The sequence below is a fragment of the Homo sapiens genome, chromosome 4, assembly GCF_000001405.40.
Source record: "Homo sapiens chromosome 4, GRCh38.p14 Primary Assembly".
Lineage (NCBI taxonomy): Eukaryota > Metazoa > Chordata > Mammalia > Primates > Hominidae > Homo > Homo sapiens.
In genome coordinates this window covers 16240888-16260584 of record NC_000004.12, presented here as the reverse complement: position 1 = coordinate 16260584, position 19697 = coordinate 16240888, and the positions used below count along the sequence as shown (strand labels likewise).

The 19697-nt window shown below is 40.6% G+C and overlaps 1 long non-coding RNA gene and 1 pseudogene across 2 annotated transcripts in view; one reads left to right on the top strand and one right to left on the bottom strand.

Annotated features, from left to right (window-relative positions):
* Positions 1 to 2397: 2397 nt before the first annotated feature.
* Positions 2398 to 19697, bottom strand: part of TAPT1-AS1 (TAPT1 antisense RNA 1) — a 31525-nt gene continuing 14225 nt past the window's right edge. The window contains exon 3 of one of the 2 annotated variants that reach the window (NR_027696.1): positions 2398 to 4328. This is a non-coding gene — a long non-coding RNA (TAPT1 antisense RNA 1). The remainder of the gene's footprint in view (positions 4329 to 19697) is intronic. The other variant, NR_027697.1, reaches the window with a different exon arrangement.
* On the top strand, positions 3984 to 4331 carry RPS21P4 (ribosomal protein S21 pseudogene 4; annotated as a pseudogene).

Here is a 19697-nt window from a genome sequence, read left to right as displayed (position 1 = left end):
AGTAATTTCCAAATACCAAACCCCATAGAGACCACCAAATTTTGTGTGATATTTAGTATATCAATAGAGATCAGAAAAGAGTTAGTTACACAGTTGTATGTTCGTTTTTTAAATTAAGACATTTATTAACAAGTGCTTGCAGTTTGTTAACTTTTTTGAAAAAAGTCATTATAAAATTTTATTACATATTAAAAATGTTCTTAAAAATCTCAACTTGACTGGATATAAAACATTTAAAAATCTTTAAAGGCATATTCAGTGAAACCAAGCCTCCATTCATGGCATTTAAAAAAATAATTAGTGAGCAGGAATTGGTTTATTTTCCAACTTTCCCACTGATCTTCAAATACGTCACTTTTGTTCAAATAATGCAAGGTTTCTAACAGTCCAATTGTAAAGATTTTTACTAAAGTGGATTTGAAATTTAGCCTCTAATCTATTGAGAATGATGAGGATTTTGCTGGAACAAAGATGACTAATAATTATCAAGAACTGCAACAGCTAGGCTGATGCAATTGGCAACTCACCCACGTATTTCCAAAAGCGGCCCACATTTTATAGATGCGTGATGTGATACTAGCACCCTTCTCCTCAGGCTAAGCTGCCAGGGTCTTTTCTTTGACCCAGTTTGTTGACAGATCATTACTTTCAAGCAAACAAATCCTTGTCCCTGTGTTTAGGATGGGAAGTGAATTGAGGAACATAGTATATACAGGATATATTGTCTCTCTTTTCAACTCTAGTTATGTAGGATTTTGTTTGTGGGGCAGAGCTACTTTAGATCAGAAGCACCAGCACAGCTAAACCAGATATTAAGATAGTGAAATTGCTTTGTACTTGTTGGAACATGGCTGCTATCCTATGCAAACACCTTCACCCCATACTACCACTTCCTCTTCTCTGGTACACTCTTAGGACCCCTCCAAGACCTTTCCACAATTTCTAACTAAAGGGATAATGCATGGCAGAGTTGGGGCCCTTAGGACCCTCATCAGGAGCTACTGCCAGCATTTATTCCAGTCGGGCAGCATCCATGCCCTATTGATTGCTAAATATTCTAATAACATACTTGATCAATAGGGACATTTTTGAGCATCTTTTGACCTCCTTTGTTTGCTCATAGAGAGATTCTGATTGCTCAATCTATTTTTGTTAAAAATAAGAAGTACAAGCATTTGTATAACAATCTACCCTTTGTAGCTTCCCCAATACATTAGCTTATTCAACAACTATTCATTTAGCCCTGCTATGTTCCAATCACTGTGATAGGTATTTACACAAAAGTATATGCACACATCATTTATTCCTCATGACAGTCCCTAACTTTGGGTGGTACTATAATAAATTTCACCAAAAATTACAATATTAGCAATATTATATATTATATTCATATATTATTACTGTGCTATATTATTAGTTATAATAATTATAATCACTAATATAATAATTATATCACTATAATTATATTATTACTATATATTATTCTGTATGCTAGATGACAGGCACTATGCTAAACACATAACATGGATTTGCCAATTTGATCTACAAAAATGTCTTGAGATATATTCTCTTTTCATCCCCATTAGATGGACAAGTCAACTGGGACTGGAAAAGGTTAGGACACATCCTTAAGGCTAAAGAGCTGTAGGAACAGGGCAAGGACTCTGATCCAGGTTATCCAATTCCAACTTTTCCACTGTTTTCTCCATTGTTCCAAGTTCCCTTGCATTAGAAGTTGATATTGGCAGAAGTACTGAATAACAGGGCTATAGTAATTTCTAAATGGATACAAGTATCTTGAGTCCTGACTTTCAGTTTTGGCGTTGGCATCTTATATTTTTCACATTAGAAAAGTGACAAATTCATACCAAAAACCAACTGTTTTCTAAACGAAGCTCTGCTCCAATTTCTCTTTGCTAATTATTCTGTTTAAAGGATGGGCATTTTGCTAGCCTTTGGAGACTCTTTCTGTGTTTTTCTTATAAATTTTATTTAAGATTTCTACATTGATATATCTTGCTAGGGATATTATAGAGAAGAAGGGAAAGCTTGACCTGATTCTGTCTCCTCTCCCAACTTTTCCCTACTCTTGTCCAGGGAGGAATGCTAGACCATAAGCTTTGAGGAGAGGGACTATGTCTATTTCACCGCATCTCCAGCCACCAACCTAGTGCCTAGAACATAAGAAAATAATAAATATTTTTTGAATGCTGGAATAAGTATGGGTGGTGCTTTTTAAATGTCTATAAGAGATACGATTGTCATAAGTATGATAACTGTATGTTTTAGCTCCCACAACATTCTGCCCACTCCAACCAGGTTAAAAATCCACTATATATGGTGTATGACATCTGGCACTTGGTTCTCTCTTCATTCTTTTATACAACAAACACTTACAAAAAAATTCATTCATTTATTTAACAGGTATTTGCTGAGCACCTCCATATGCCAGGCAATTTGCTAGATTGTGGCACTACAGTGATGAACATGAAGGTAAGTGAGGCCCCTTCTCAGAGAGCTTAGATCATAGTTGGGAGGAGGAAACAGGATAAACACATCTAACAAACAAGTTTTTTAAAATAAGCAAATTAATTACCAATTGTTTGAAGGACTATGACAAAGATAAACATGGGAAAGAGAATGAGTAGCTGGGAGTAGCAGTGAGAAGGTGACCTTTCAGTTGAGACCTAAAGGATGAGGATGACCCAGCTATGCAAAGAGATGAGAAAAAGAGCCCTCTAGGCAGAGAGGAGAACAAGTGCAAAGGCCAAGGTTCCTAGGGAACAGAAGGGAGGCCAGAGCTGCTAAAGTCCAGTGAGCCATGGAGAACTGCGAGGGGAGGAGCAGCCAGGCCTTCCAAGGCTCCGTGGTGCAGTTTGGATTTTATTCCCAGATAAATGACAAGCCAGTAAAGGGAGATGAAAATAATTCTCTCTCTACTGTGGAGAGTGGGCTGAGAGGGAAGAATAAAAGCAGTGGGGTGATGTGGGTTGCACTCATAAAATGACAGTGGAAATGGAGAGAAGTCAATGGATTCAAGTTCTACAGCAACTGGGTATGTCAGACAAAGGGAGAAGGTAAGGGAAAGGAGACGTGACTCAAGCAACCAAGATAGGGAAGAGCAAGGTAGCGGTAAGTTGCAATCAGGAACTTTCCTCTAGCCCTCTAGGCAGAGAGGAGAGCAAGTGCTTCCCCTTCACCTTCTGCCATGATTTTAAGTTTCCTGAGGTCTCCCAGCCATGCTTCCTGTACAGCCTGTGGACCTGTGGGTCAACTAAACCTCTTATCCTCATAAATTACCCAGTGTTTTCCACTGGCTATGACATACCCAAATGGAAATATCAAGTAAGCAGTTGGATATACAGGTCTTGAGTTCAGGAGGGAATGAAACCAAAGCTGGAGGTAGTAAATCTGGGAACCAACCACAGATAGATGGGATCAACACCAAGCTAATACATACAAGGATCTGCTATTTAAATACCAGTTATGAACCATGCTAATTCTATGATCTTGAGAAAATAACGACCTCACTCCTCCGTTTTCTCATCTGAAAAATGGGAATGAAAGTAATGCTTTTTTAGGGTGGTTGTGAGGATTAATAAAATAATCCCTAGTACCTGGGTAAGCACTCCAAGAATGCTATTGTAACTGGTTTATATTATTTTCCACAACTGCCTTTACACTTGCTCTGGGTATGGCCGTTTTAAGACAACTAAAGCCTGAATGCTTTCCATGGGGTCCACTCAGACATGCTTGCTCATTCAAACTCTGCGAGTCCTGAACGCTTACCCCTCTGCTGGCCCAAATCCTCACCAGCCGTCTCAAATAGCTTCAGCCAGCTTTGCACCCTTGGAATTCTCCAGGCTAGAGAAAGGCACCAGTCTCATGGAGTGATACATCAAAATCCGCTCTCGGTAGACGTCTTCCCTTCGAGATCTGCTTTGAGGGCTGCCCTAACTTGGCATAAGAGGACAAACCCTCGGCTTTCTCTCGCGTGCGCGGTGTGGTGGCAGCAGGCGGAGCCTCGAAATGCAGAACAACGCCGGCGAGTTCGTGGACCTGTAAGTTCCGCGGAAATGCTCCGCTAGCAACCGCATCATCGGTGCCAAGGACCACGCATCCATCCAGATGAACGTGGCCGAGGCTGACAAGGTCACGGGCAGGTTTAATGGCCAGTTTAAAACTTATGCTATCTGCGGGGCGATAGGATGGGTGAGTCAGATGATTCGATTCTCCGATTGGCCAAGGCCGACAGCATCGTCTCAAAGAAGTTTTGACTAGAGAGAATCACGGATGTGGAATATTTGTCATAAATAAATAGTGAAAACCTAAAAAAAAAAAAAAAAAAGACAAACCCTCTTTTCATCCCACAGAGTGAGGAGTCAAGAAATGTCAAAACGCTGGTACACCTATAAATCCCCTTTAAGGCACCTTCTCAAGCCCTCTCTTACATAGTTGAAGGGGGTTGACGGAGTTGATAGCCACAGGTTCTGTATTGTAATTTCTCAGTAAGTCCTAAAAATGTGTCCAATGTCACTATTTATAATGTAGAGAACTTGTACATTATAATCAGCTTTGAGCTTCAGCCACAATTCCAAGAAACAAGAAACATCTTGATGTGGTTTGGCTCTGTGTCCCCACCCAAATCTCATGTTAAATTGTAACTCCCAGTGTTGGAGGAGGGGCCTCGTAGGAGGTGACTGAATTACAGGACAGACTTCCCTCTTACTCTTCTCATAATAGAGTTCTCATGAGATCTGGTTGTTTGAAAGTGTGTAGCACTTTCTCCTTTGTTCTCTCTCTCTCCTGTTCCACCATGGTAAGGAATGCTTGCTTCCCCTTCACCTTCTGCCATGATTTTAAGTTTCCTAAGGTCTCCCAGCCATGCCTCCTGTACAGCCTGTGGACCTGTGAGTCAATTAAACCTCTTTTCTTCATAAGTTACCCAGTCTCAGGTCGTTCTTTGTAGCACTGTGAGAACCGACTAATACACATCCTATTTCCCACCATATATATTTTATTTTTAATTTTTTTCTCAGTATCAAATGTATTAGCCCATATAGCCTCCATGCAAATAAATACTGTCACATGAATCTGAAGTCGAAAGAGATTTAAGACAAATGATGGTATATAATACTGCCTCTCCTTTCTATATGCTTATGTATTGGGTTACAAATATGAGTAAGGCCTTACAAAAATCTGTATTATACAGAAGTTTGCCAAAAAAGTCATCCGGGTGATGTTTGAGTCTAAGGGAAGGTGATAATTAATCGATGCTTTTCTCCAGAGTTCAAAACCAATTAAGAAATGGAGTCAGATTCAGAGAAGCCAAATCATTGGCCGTATAATATAGAATGGCTAGAATGGAGAAGGCAGCTTATCCTGTAGTAAAACGTAGGCTTGGCCAGGTGCGGTGGCTCATGCCCGTAATCTCAGCACTTTGGGAGGCCTAGGCGGATGGATCACCTGAGGTCAGGAGTTCGAGACCAGCCTGGCCAACATGGTAAAACCCTGTCTCTAAAAAAAAAAAAAAAAAAAAATTAGCTGGGTATGGTAGTGTATACCTGTAATCCCAGCTACTCAGGACGCTGAGGCAGGAGAATTGCTTGAACCCAGGAGGCAGTGGTTGCAGTGAGCCAAGATCGTGCCACTGCATTCCAGCCTGAGCAACAAGAGTGAAACTCCATCTCAAACAACAACAACAACAACAACAACAAAAAACCTCGTAGGTTTCCCACTACTTCCCTCTACTACCAGCTCAGAAAGGCAGGCTGCCATATTTGTCAAGATGAAAGCCTGTCCTTGAAACCCTCCCACATGGAGGTGGGAGTCATGAAAGCATGCTTACTGCGGCAGGCAGATCTCAGAGACAGAAAGGAGGGACAAATAATCTGAGAAGCTTGGACAAGAACAGATAAGACTTTCCTTGCCTTCTAAATCAGAATAATGAAAATGGAAGCAGATGCTAAAAGTAATCCTTGCATCTATTTCCTTCCTTTCTGTTCCAGAGAAGGGAAGGTTGGAGGATAAGGGTACCCCTCAACAGGAAGAATGAAATGCTATAAGAATAGAGAGTAGAGAAAGAACACCTTGAAGTAGAAAAACCCACGAATGGCAGAATCCATGGATGCTCACTTGTTCTGAGCCTGCAAGGTGTGATTTTTTTTGCTTGTTTTTTTTTTAAGGAGAAGGTATGCAGGAAGCTTTCCATTCAGAGGGGAAGCATGAGTGAAAGACAAGTGGGGGAAGGCAGTTGGGCTCAGGGAAAGGTTAGTGGGCTAAACTTACTTGAAAATCCAGGGTTTGGGTGGGAGAAGAGTGAGAAACAGTGAAAGGGCAATCTGAAGCCACATCAGGGAAGGTCTTGGTTACAAGTCAAGGACTTTGTATACTATTTGGTCAAGAACTGGAAGGCAGTCAAAGTTTTTGAGTAGGAGAGGTGCATAATTATAGCAAGGCTTTAAGAAGACTAAGTGGGCAGCAGGGTGCAAAATATATAATCTAAGGAGAATTTGGGAAGGAGATAGTTCAGTTAGAGGCTCCTGTATAGATTGGAAGAGGAAGTAACATTAATTCATGTCATCGCAGTGGGACTGGAAGGAAAATGACATTTGTATAGTGCTTTAGAGTTTACAAAGTTCTTGTTGCATTAATTACTTCATTTGATATGGCACTTGTGGAAAGTAAGTTAGCTCAAAGAAAAACAGACCATAAGACAGTTTACAGTCAATAAATGTGAAATGAATAAACATAAGACTCTAAAGGGCTCGGTGACTGCACACAGGAGGGAATGCAAGTGAGGAGTCAAATATGACTCACAGTCTTGAATAACTGGAATTATTCATTCATCAAGTATTTGTTGAGCTTTTGCTATATGCCAGGAAAAGTGCCAGATGCTAGGATTGCAGCAAAGAACATGGTAGACGAAGACCCTATTCTCAGGGAGCCAATGTACTAATGAAAGAGAGTATCAATAGATATATAAAGAAATATAAAACATCATATGGCAAAGGAAAAAACAAATCAGGGTAAGAGGATAGAGTCTGTGGGGGTGCTTTTTTAGATATTATGGTCAGAGAAGGCCTCTTTCCAGAAGTGACTATTGGGCAGAGACCAGAAGAAAGCCAGGCAGTGAGCCATGTGAAGTTCTAGGAGAGAAGTATCTGGGGCAGAGAGAGTAGCATGAAAAAAGCCCTGAAATGAGTGTCCATCTGGTGTGTTCAGAAAGTAACAAGGGGGCCTGTGTAGGCAGCAGAGTCAACAAGGAGGAGGTGATAGGTCATGAGCCCAGAAAGATAGCCAAAGGCCTAATCCTCAATGGTCTTGTAAGCCAAGGTAAGTACCTCTGGCTTTTGTTTGGAGGAATCATTTATAGAGAGCAAGAGTAAACAGATACCAGTAAGAAGGCACCATGGGAGCCCAGGGAAGGGACAATGGTGGCTTGAACTGATGTAGCACTGCTGGAGGAGATGAAAAATGGCCAGATTCCAGATCTATGATCAGGCAACGCTTGTAGGATTTTTTTTTTATCAGATTTGATGTAGAGTAGAAGAAAAAGGATGATTCCAGAGTTTGTACTTAGAACAGCTGGGTAAATGGTGGTGCCCTTACCAAGATGCAGTATGGTGGGCAAAGACAGCAGGGGCTTTGCTTAGCCCCTGTTAGATTTAATAAACCTCTTGGACATTCAAGTGGAGATGTTTTGAAGGAAGGATGTGATCATGGAGTTAGGAGGAATGTCAGGGTTAGAGATATAAATTTGAGATGGCTTTACCACCATCAAAAATAGAGAAACCAGGAGAGAGAAGCAGATTCACATACCGTATGTATTCACATTCAGTATGTATTAAGCACAGAAAAAGTGTGTGAATCCACTTACTATGTGTTAAGCACTTTTTTAGGGCCTGGGTGTACAGACATCAAAGACATACTTCTTCACTTCCAAGGGCTCACAGTTCACCTGGGAATACAAACAAGTAAGCAACCAGCTACACTTTAGTATGATACGATCTATAACAGAAGTTTCCAAGGGGTGCTATAAGAGACAGCAGAAGGGCATCAGATGCAGGAAGCCTTCCTAAGGAAAATGATACACAAGAAAAATTTGGAGGGTTGAGGAAGGAATGTTTTGGGACAAAAAATTCAGGCCCAAGGAGAAGGATGTTTCGGGGGACAGAACGTAGTTTTCAATAGCATAGAGGCATTTGAAACGTGACATGTTCGTGAAACTGCAGTTATTTGACATGACTGGAAAAAAGAGTGCTTGTAGAAGAGTGGTAAGAGATGAAACAGGAAAGGTGAGCAGGGGATAGGCCAGAAAGGTCTCTTTAGCCCATACTGGGGAGTCTGAAGGTGAAGAAGACAAGTTTTGTTTTAGAAATGCTAAGTTTAAAATACAAATGCATGCTGCTCAGGTGGTAGATGCACCAAAATCTTACAAATCACAACTAAAGATCTTACTCATGTAACCAAGCACCACCTGTTCCCCAAAACCTATGGAAATAATTGTTCTTTTCCAATCACTCTGGGAGCTTTTAATAGGCACAAGTGCTGCAGCCCCATCCTACATATTCCAACATAATTGTTCGGGGGTAGAGACCTGACATTGGTCTCATTAAGATGTGTTTGTGTGTATATGCACAATATACATGTATATGTATTACATATGTATATGCATTCATATATATATACAGTACATATGTGTATGGATTCACATTTTTACAATACATATGATTATCTCATTTCTTTCTATAAAAATAAAATAAAATACAAATGGGACTTGCCTAGCAGGTAACAGAAAATGGGAGATTAGAACTCCAGGGGAGGTCAGGGTCAGATTTATATTTCTAGTTATGTCTGTATCTGTCATATTTCAAAACCTCTGTCATAGAAATCATCATTGAAGCCATAGGAGTGAATTAAATATCCAAGAAATAGAAAATGCAGAAAAAAGAGAAGTAAGAAAAGAACAGTTCTGTAGGCAGACCCCACAATTAGAAGACTGGAGAAGGCCGGGCGCGGTGCCTCACGCCTGTAATCCCAGCACTTTGGGAGGCTGAGGCGGGCGGATCACAAGGTCAGGAGATCGAGACCATCCTGGCTAACACGGTGAAACCCCGTCTCTACTAAAAATACAAAAAATTAGCCAGGTGTGGTGGCGGGTGCCTGTAGTCCCAGCTACTTGGGAAGCTGAGGCAGGAGAATGGCGTGAACCCAGGAGGCGGAGCTTGCAGTGAGCCAAGAATGCGCCACTGCACTCCAGCCTGGGTGAGAGTGTGAGACTCCGTCTCAAAACAAAAAAAAAAAAAAAAGAAGACTAGAGAAGTGGAAGGGGAGTCATTATGGAGCTCAGGGAAAGAACAGTCAGGAGGATTTAAGAGCTGGAAGAGTACAATGTCACCATCGCCATGGAAACAGGGACTCATGAAAGGGACAGTGGTTGACAATATCAAACACAGAGAGGTTAAGGAGGGTAAAAATGGAGAGAAGGTCATCAAATGTGATGACCACGTGGTCCTTTGGTGACCTTTGGGAGAGTAATTTAGGAGAAAGCAGGGGTAAAAGTCAGCAGCAAAGATGTTGGAGTAATTAGGTTACAAAAAGTGAAAACAAGGAAGGTGGACTTTACTAAGCATTCTTTTCCAAGCCCGTCCCATTTTCCTGCCTGGCATTTGCCTTTTGTACTCCACCTTGACTTGACCTTTTTCTCCTGGCATTTTGTCCTGTCTCTCTTACTTCCACTGTCTACTGGCCCCCTGTAACAGCATTCCTTGCCAGCAACAATTCTAGCATTCAGCCAACTAGCAAGCTATGAACTGAATCACCAAGTAGACTTTAACAGATAAGAAAACAGATCAAAGGTTACCTTGGTGAAACATGTGTCATGATAGATTCTGTATAATGAATGGAATCTCTTTAAGGACATTTCTGACTGGAAGAATCCCCACCTGTCTGTTAACAGAAGTTGTCCCAGGGGTTTTAGACAGTAGGAGGTTGTGGTGGGGGATGCCTTTTTATTTTTACCATATAAATAAGCTTATTGTTTTAGGTTGTTGTGATTATTGTTGTTTTACAACAAAAAATGTTTTGCTTTTCAAATTTAATTTTTTTTTTGCATGCCCTCCATTCTTCTAATCTGCAGAGGTACCATTTGGCTAAGATTGTCTATATTTCTTCTTCTTTTCTTCATGTTCTCCTCCCATAGTTCTTTGGCAGCCAGAATTAACTCAATGGAAATGTTGGCAAATTCTCCAGTCAGTCTTTGTTCTTTTTAATGTCATGGACATATCTAGATAATTGTTCTTCTATATCAATTGATATCTAGCTTTTAATGTAATTGGACCTTTGCATATCCAAAAGCCACTTATGCAAATTTAAACAATGACTTCACTCAATAAACTGGGAATGATAACCACAGTCATTATGAAAGTAGGAGAAGCTAATCAAAGTTCCATCTTCATAATTTTCATTTTAGAGACCAGCAGCTAAAAACAAGTAGACAGGAAGAGAATAATTGGCCACTTATTCTAATCCCTGCCATTTGTAATAATAATAAACAGCACAAATAGCAAACAAATTAATGACTGCTCCCCCTGAGCCAATCAATTACCAAGCTATGATCACTTTACCTCCTACTTCTTGAATCTTTTCCTTCACCACTGACTCATTCAAGCTGTCTTTTCCTCTTTCGTGGATCATGGCAATAGCTTCCCAGCCTCTATTCTTGTTTCTCTTAAAAATATCCTCCATATTGGTCACTAAAATGAGCTCTCTCATACAAAAACCAAGCCACTGCCTTGCTTAAAACCCATCAATGGCTCTGAAAGCATCATGGAATGTCTAACCTCCTTATTGCAACATGTAAACTTGATAGTTTCCTGACTCCTACCTGTAAATCTTCTGCACTCAGACTCATAGTGCACCAGACTGAGCTCTTTAACCTGGAGTTAATGCTGTTGTGTGGAGTTCAGATCACTGCCAGACTCTACTTCCCCTTGTGGTGAGTTGGCCTTTGGGACCTTACTGTCCTCTTCTCTCATGCACCTTGGTCAAGACCATCACAATCCACTGTGGCAGGGTTTCCTAATTTTAACATTTGGTAGTAGGAATTGGTGCCTCCCTTCCTTCTCTTTCAGAAGGGTTTTAGGATCCTTATTCAAATACATCCACTCCCTCCCCAAACCTCTGCAAACTGAGGAGAAGCCTTTGCTAAGACACAGGACTTTTTTTTTTTTTTACAGTTAATTGTATACCATTTTCCAAAGTCAAAATATGCCCCAATTCTTCACCTAAAGGATGCTGTTCCAACATGACTTTCTATGTTCACCTCTAAATAAAAAATTCCACCACGCCAGGTACACTGTTACACACATATAATTAGATGTGTATAAAATTCAACTCTCTATAAACACATACATATATCTTAAAGCTTTATATCTCAGCTTAGAAAATTAATTTTCTGACAACATCCTTTAATAATATTATTGCTGTTTTATAGAGGTCAATAGGACTAAGATCAGAGCCTTCTGTGACTTTAACCAGAACTCAAATGAATGAACCCTCTCAATTAACTGATTATTATTTCTTCTACACCAGACTTCTAAAAGAAAGAAAGAAAGAGGCTAATAAATACAGATGTGTCAGAGACCATTTTCAGGCTGTTGAAACAATGCCTTCATCTATAGACTTCATTCATAAATACACACACACAAATACCTACAGTTCTTAGGATCTATTGACATTCTGGAGGACAAAGTCTTCAAACTTGGCCCATTCAAGCCCTTTCACCATGTGCAACCCTACCTCTGGAAGATCTTACTCAGGCATGTAGAAAATGGTGACCGCAGAGATGGGAATTTCCATTGAAGAACAGATGGAACAAAACTTTAGGAGCAAAATGCTGGACCGTCTAACAGCAATAAAAATATCTACAGGCCCTACAGTCATACAATCAACTAGCAAGCTACAGATTTAAAGATCTTTAAAAAGATCTTTAAATATGTAAAAATATAAAAGTCAGTCCCACATATGTTTCCACGTATGTTTTCAACTCCTTCAGATTTCTGAGGTCATCCACTCTCAAAAGTCCAGGTTGAAGCAGACAAGAAACTACTTTAAAGACATTAGCAGCTCTAGAACCTCTGGAAGAGCCCAAGAATCACTGTTGAAAGCTATCTAGAGAGGTACTTGTAAATCAACTTATGCGAGGAGTTCCACCTATTTGGTTTGAGATTATTGGGAGAGATAAAGAAGGCTTTGGGTCCTTCTTCACATTACAGCACCTTTAAAAATAATAACAAGAAGAAGAAGAACCTTATAACCCAATGCTTAGTCCCTTTTTGCTTTACTCTCAGGCAACACAGAGCTCAATTCAGAACTCCTGGCAGTAGCTCCCCAATTAAAGGGTTGGACACATCCACTTCCCTTTTGGAATTACCTTGTTTAGATGGGTTAAATTTTAAAAGCCAAAATACAAATTCCAAATAAACAAATTAAATTAAATAGAAAGCATAATATCATCACAGTGAATTATTTCTAGACCAAGGTACAGACATAGTATGGCTACGGCTTATTAAATAGACTCTAGATTATCAAAAATCAAATGTCCAAGGCTTACTTTTGTCAGGCCCTCATGTCTTCTGAAGTCATCATCCCTTAAACATTCTACCAAGAGGGCCTGGGTCTCATACCATATATCTTGGAAAATTCTGTGGCTTCCTTCTCCCATCACAGACTCCCACATCCAGATACCACATGCACATACACTTGTCCCATCCCCATGTCAGCATCTCGAAGGTACCTCAGTAAGATTGTGTTTTGAGCAGTCGGCATATCCTCAAATCTGTCTTCTTTCCCCACTTCTTGGCTCCAAGATGGTCGGTACGGTAGATGCCACTGGTGCTCCGTTCATCAGAGATTTGTCTCAACCAAAAAGGAGCTGCTTCATTCAGATCACACTTCCACCTCAACTCCTTCAGAGAAGACTGGGGCCAATGACTGACCGACATAAGGGTTTAAAGACCATACTCCTTACCCTAAGAGGAGTCCAACTCTGTCATGCAATTCATGCTCCAGAGGGCTCTCCATGGGATCTAGGCTAATTTGATCCCCAGCCAAAACAACATCCACACTTGGGCTTCTTTCCCACCCTGTTCTTCTCTCACTCCCCTTGTCCTGAGAGCACTCCCTCAATAAGTCACTTTTACAACAACCCCTGCCTCAGGCTCTACTTCCTGGGAACGCTTCCTGACACAGTTGGATTCAGTAGCTTTTTCCTGAAAGACAATAATAACTCAACATAGAACAGTAACAATTTAGATGTGAGTATCCATGCTACATTGCTAAAAGAAGGAGCATCAGAGTGAACAACTGCAGAGTCCACAGCTCTCTCCTCTATACAGGGTTTTGTAACCCAAGTGGAGAACATCATCTCTATTTTCATGTATCAGAGGCTTTTATTCTGTACTCTCTCTTGACTGCCTCCCAGGGAGGGAAGTGAGCACAAAAATAAGAAAGCAAATCCCTGGTGTAGAAACATTCTAGAGTTTGACACTTGTATTAAAAAGTTTCTGAAAGCTGGCCTGGCGCAGTGGCTCACATCTGTAATCCCAGCTCTTTGGGAGGCTGAGAAGGATGGATCACCTGAGGTCAGGAGTTCAAGACCAGCCTGGCCAATATGGTGAAACCCAGTCTCTACTAAAAATACAAAAATTAGCTGGGTGTGATGGTGCATGCCTGTAGTCCCGGCTACTCAAGAGGCTGAGGCAGGAGAATCACTTGAACCCGGGAAGCAGAGGTTGCAGTGAGCTGAGATCACGCCACTGTACTCCAGCCTGGGTGACAGAGCGAGACTCCATCTCAAAAAAACCAAAAAAACAAACAAACAAACAAACAAACAAACAAATGGTCTCTGAAAGCTGTTGGAAGAGACACATGGCATACAATCAGATAATTCAACTCATAGAGGCATGCTTCCCCAAACTCATTCCTCTCACTTTCTATCTCACCTACTCTTATCTACAAACTGAAAAATGTTTCCCTCAATTCCTTTAGAGATTGTGCTAAGAGCTGCCAGGAGGGTATTGTGATGCCATGAGGGAGGGTATAGGCAATGTGATCACAAGGAAGTCCGTGAGACCCGAGATGGGCAGGAAGGGCATAGCTTCCCCACCTACGAGGTGTGGATGCCATAAGGTTAATGTCCATTCGGGCTGCTACATGGTTCATTCTGGTGGGTGGGCTAAATTTGAGGGATATACAAATTGCCACAGGACTACAGAAAAAGAAACAACCAATACCACTTGGTGATGAGGCAGGGAAGGTCAGCAAAGTTTCCACTGAGTGCAGAATGTCTGATCTGTGCCTGAGAGGATAAGTAGATGGCCATGTAGAAAAGAAGAAAAAAGTCCCAGGCAAAGAGTCTGGACAGCACAGAGATGTGGATGCAGATGGCAGTGGTGGGACCAGGCAAGCACAGACTACCTGCTAGGGTGTGGCAGTATATAAGGCTGGGAAGACAGCCTGAAAGCCGCTTGAGAAGGTCCAGAGGATCATGGAAATTGTTCCAGCAGGAAGTGCTTTGTTCACATGTATTGTTAAGGCCAATCTGCACACTCTCTGGGGAATAGATTGGTGAGATGAGAAGGCAGCAAAACCAGTTAGTAGTCTTTTGAAATGATACCTAGTGCTTATTATATATTTATTACGTAGCCAGGCACTATCCCTAGCATTTTACACATTTTATCCTCACTCTGACTGCATGTGACAAATACTCTTTGGCATCTCAAATGACATGAGGAAACTGAGGCACAGAAGGTTAAGTAAGTTACCCAGAGAGTCAAAGCTAGTAAGTACAGGGCAATTAATTAAACCAAGGGGGATCTGGCTACTTTTCTGCCCCCCTAATGCTGAGGGACTATTCTAGGGCAGTAATGACTAAAATAGAAAACAGAGGACAAATGACATTTTGAGGGTGAATATAGGTAAGGCAAAGAGATAAATAAAAAGAACTGAGGTTTCCAGTTTCAGTGACCCAGGAGAAGGGAATTAGAATTAATAAGAGATAGAGCAGCAGCTTCAGGGTGAAAAGAATACCAAGGTTTGAGGCATGCTATGTTTGCAGAGATTGGGAGACATTCCGGTAAGTGTCTGAAATGTTTGTCTTACTCCCAGCCTTATCTTAAGATATCCTCTCCCACTGTGATGGTTAATACTGATTGTCAACTTGATTGGATTGAAGGATGCAAATTATTGATCCTGGTTGTGTCTGTGAGGGTGTTGCCAAAGGAGATTAACATTTGAGTCAATGTGCTGGGAAAGGCAGACCCACCCTTAACCTGGGTGGGCTCCATCTAATCAGCTGCCAGCATGGCTAGAATATAAAGCAGGAAAAAAATGTGAAAAGGCTAGACTGGCTTAACCTCCTGGCCTACATCTTTCTTTTCTGCTGGATGCTTCCTGCCCTTGAACATCAAACTCCAAGTTCTTCAGTGTTGGGACTCGGACTGGCTCTCCTTGCTCCTCAGCTTGTAGACAGCCTACTGTGGGACCTTTGTGATCGTGTTAGTTACTACTTAACAAGCTCCTATATATACCTCCTATTAGTTCTGTCCCTCTAAAGAACCCTGACTGATACGCCCATCTTCCATAACTTGGTATCATCACATATGCTCTCTCCTTTGTGCAATCAGAGTCTGTTCTTAAGGCAGTGTCCAGTATAGATGCCATTCACACATTAATGTCAGCAAATTCTCTCTTCCCAGGTGGGCCTGATATTAAATGAGAGCTTTACCTCTTGTTAACGAAATCAGTAAAAATTAACAGACTATGATGGAGAGGCATTTCTGGAGAATCTATCCTGCCTAAGTGTAAGACACTCAGCCCCACCTCCCAAGACAAAACCAGACATTCAACCTGATCAGGTTCTCCCATTAATTCAATAGCTGTGGAATGGATTTGGTGAGTTCTCAGAGTCCTCTCACAAGGCACAAAAGCCACAGGGAATAGAGAACACTTTGGAATGTCAGCCAATTCCCTAAAGTATCCAGGTCTTCTTTCAAAAATGTTCTTGGCCAGGGTGCAGTGGCTCACACCTGTAATCTCATTTGGGAGGCCAAGGCAGAAAGATCACTTGAACACAGGAGTTTAAGGCCAGCCTGGGCAATGTAGGGAGATCCATCTCTACAAAACATAAAAAACTAGCCTGACATGATGTGTGTCTGTGTTCCCAGCTACTCAGGTGGCTGAGGTGGGAGGATCACTTAAGCATGGGAGATCAAGGCTGCAGTGAGCCATGATCATGCCACTGCACTCCAGCCTTGGTGACAGAGTGAGACCCTGTCTCAAAAAACAAAAGGAAAGTTCGTGTTCAAAAGATTATCTTTTTAAAAATCAGTCATCTTCCTTCTCCCCCCACCACCCTCACCTCTCTCTCTGTCTCTCTCTTCTGTCCTTCTGCCCTCACCCCTACTTGTTTTTGTTAAAAGAAAGTGTTAAAAGAAAAACTGAGGCACAATACAAATCTTAGAGTTTATCTGAGCAAACAACAATTCATGAGTTGGGAAGCACCAAACCAGAAGAGGTTTGGAGCTCCATAAAGAGGCACAAGGAACTGGCTTTTATAGAGTGAATGCAGAAATAAAGAAAATATTTGCTCAGCACCTGAAGATGTCGAGACAAGGGGAACGCTTAAGGCCAAAAGTTTGAGACTAGCCTGCACAACATAGCAAGACCCCTATTTTGTCCCCCTTTCAGCCACCTTTTCTACAAAAAAATTAAAAATTAGCCAGGTATGGTAACACACGACTTTAATCCTAGCTACTTGGGAGCTCAGGCAGAAGGATCACCTGAGCCCAGGAAGTTGAGGCTGCATTGAGCTATGCTCACGCCACTGCATTCCATCCTGAGCAACAGAGTGAGACCTTGTCTCTTAAAATTAAAAATAAAATGTTTGAGTGAATATTTAATTTCCTTATTTGGTTTGTCCCACTAGAAAGTCTCTAGTTACCTAAGTTAGTTGGCTGCTTCTGATTGATTGAGCTTAAGTTTTGTTTTCCTCTGATATAAGCATTTACATGTAATGGCCCAAGTTAAGTTTTGCTTATGTTTGCAATTTAAAAAACGTTAAGGTTATTTTCAAGGCCTAACTCACTTTGTCTGCTGAGGGATTTTTCAGGTCTAGTCTCCATTTTAGTTTGTTTTTACAACTGCCCCTTTTTGGTTATCCTCTTTATCCTCTCAGCAAACTGACAGTGTAATTAAACGGTATAGCATTCGTCTTGGTTATCGCCATTGAGGGAGTTGACGTAGACACTGGGACAGAGTCATAGAGACATTCTCATCGTCCATAGTTGCACTGGAAGGAAGGGTGGTGGTGTCACTGTTATCAGCACCTCTGTAGCCATCACTGGTCAGGTGGTTGAGCTCCTCAAGTTATCTGATCCTGATGGCAATCATTTGATATGTGAGTAGCTGCTGGAAAGCATTTAAAACCCCTGATAGGACACCATGCACTAGGAAGGTAAATACAACGACTTTAAAGAGAATAATCGCCAAGGACTGAAAAATCTCCCAGAGCAGAGATTCCCAGGAGCCACGATTTAGTCAACTAAACAAATCAGTAGGTGTAGCATCACCTCTGTGATGAAAAACCTGTATCTCTTCTTTTAAGATCTTTTAGATTTGGGGCAACAATTCGTGATTTATTAACATAGAAGCTACAGTTTTCAACACTAACAGCACATGCACCACCCTAGTGAGTGGTTAGGGTATACAGAACTTCTCTATTTTGCAAAACTAATGAAGCAAGGTTGGAGAGACCTCATTTGTAAAGCCAAGACAAAAGTGGCAGTGTCATTAAAGCTTTTTTCTAAAGTCCTGGGAACATTTATAATAGCCTTTCCTAATTCAGACGTATCAACGGAAGGAATCAATGCTCTGACGAATGAGTGAAACCCAAAATTGCATGTAGTGAGAAGCTTAGCACTGCATGAATTTCTCTTATGAGAAGATATTTTATGGACAAATGAGCCAAGATTAATGGTTTCATTGCAGAGAGGGTTTTTTGTCTCTGAACACTCGGAGCCACTTTAATCCAAAATGGTCATTCAATTTGCAGGCAATTCTTGCACAAAATTGTGGTGCGTTGGAAATAGAGTCCCATTCCTTTCATGGGTAATGCTAAAATTTGAGGCTCTCAGTTCTGTTCCCTCCAGTTTCCTTAAGAAGTAGGGGGTAAGCAGACTTCCAATTATTGAATTTAGATAAAAAGAAGAGTTTGCTGTTGGATATAGAATTGGGAAATACCTAGTTCAGGAAAATCTATCTGGATTATAGAATTAAGAATGGGTATATGCAGAGGAGGATTTTGTGTGGTTACATTGGGAAAGGCTAATCTGAACAGTTTCAACACAAAATGGAGGAGTAATATATTCTAGAGAGGAATAAGTCTGATTACTAAAAATACAGACAGGGAATTTTCTTTCATTTGAGGATAAATAGGGAATATAGTTGGGTAAGACTAGCTAGGCTTTGGAGATGTGTCCACATCCCGTTAGGTTGGTACCAGGCTGTTTTATTGGCTGGATGCAACTGTGAAAATATATCAGGTTCTTCATATATTGTATGGGCACAAATCCAGCATTCTGACTGATTAGTTATAGATGCTATTTTTTATACAATATCCACCAAGGAGTGTTTGCAATCAATGTTAGTAAAGCCTAATAAAGGTATTGATAACAAAAGCATTTTAATCATAGTGCCAGTAAACTTGTATCATTGATAGATGCAAAAGACTATTCATTGTGTCATTATTTATAATAGTAGAAGATTGAAAACAATCCAAATATCTACTGATAGGGGATCTATAAACTATGATATGTCCCCAAAATGCTGTATATTCAGCTTTGAAGAAGAAAAATAAGAAAAAGCCTCATGTACTAATATGGAGTGATCTCCAAGAGAAATTGTTAGTGCAAAAATCAAGGTGCAAATCAAGGTAAGTAGTATACCACTTTTATATATATGCATATGCAATTCTTCCAGTATTTCTTTTTGTGAATATAAGCATACATATTTTTGCAAATATAAGCAAACATACTTTTGCAAATATAAGCATACATATTTTTGCAAATATAAGCATATATATTAATCCAAGTTAATATATGTTAATATAAGCATATATATGCTTATACTTAATATTAACCAAAGTTACTATATCAAAGCATATATATAATATAATGTAATCAAGACTATATATATATATATATATATATAATATATATATATGCTTATATTTGCAAAAAGAAATACTGGAAGAATAAACCAGAAACAAAAATTAGTTACCTGTAGCCAACTGAGGCAACAGGGTACAGGGCTCGTGGCTTGAAGTAAGAGTATCCTGGCGTATTCGTCCGTTTTCATGCTGCTGATAAAAACATACCCGAGACTGGGCTCTTTACAAAAGAAAGAGATTTAATTGGACTCACAGTTCCACATGGCTGGGGAGGCCTCACAATCATGGCAGAAGGCAAAGAGGAGCAAGTCACATCTTACGTGGATGGTGGCAGGCAAAAAAAAGAGCTTGTGCAGAGAAATTCCCGTTTTATAAAACCATCAGATCTCGTGAGATCCACTCGCTATCATGAGAACAGCATAGGAAAGACCCATACCCATGATTCAATTATCTCCCACTGGGTCCC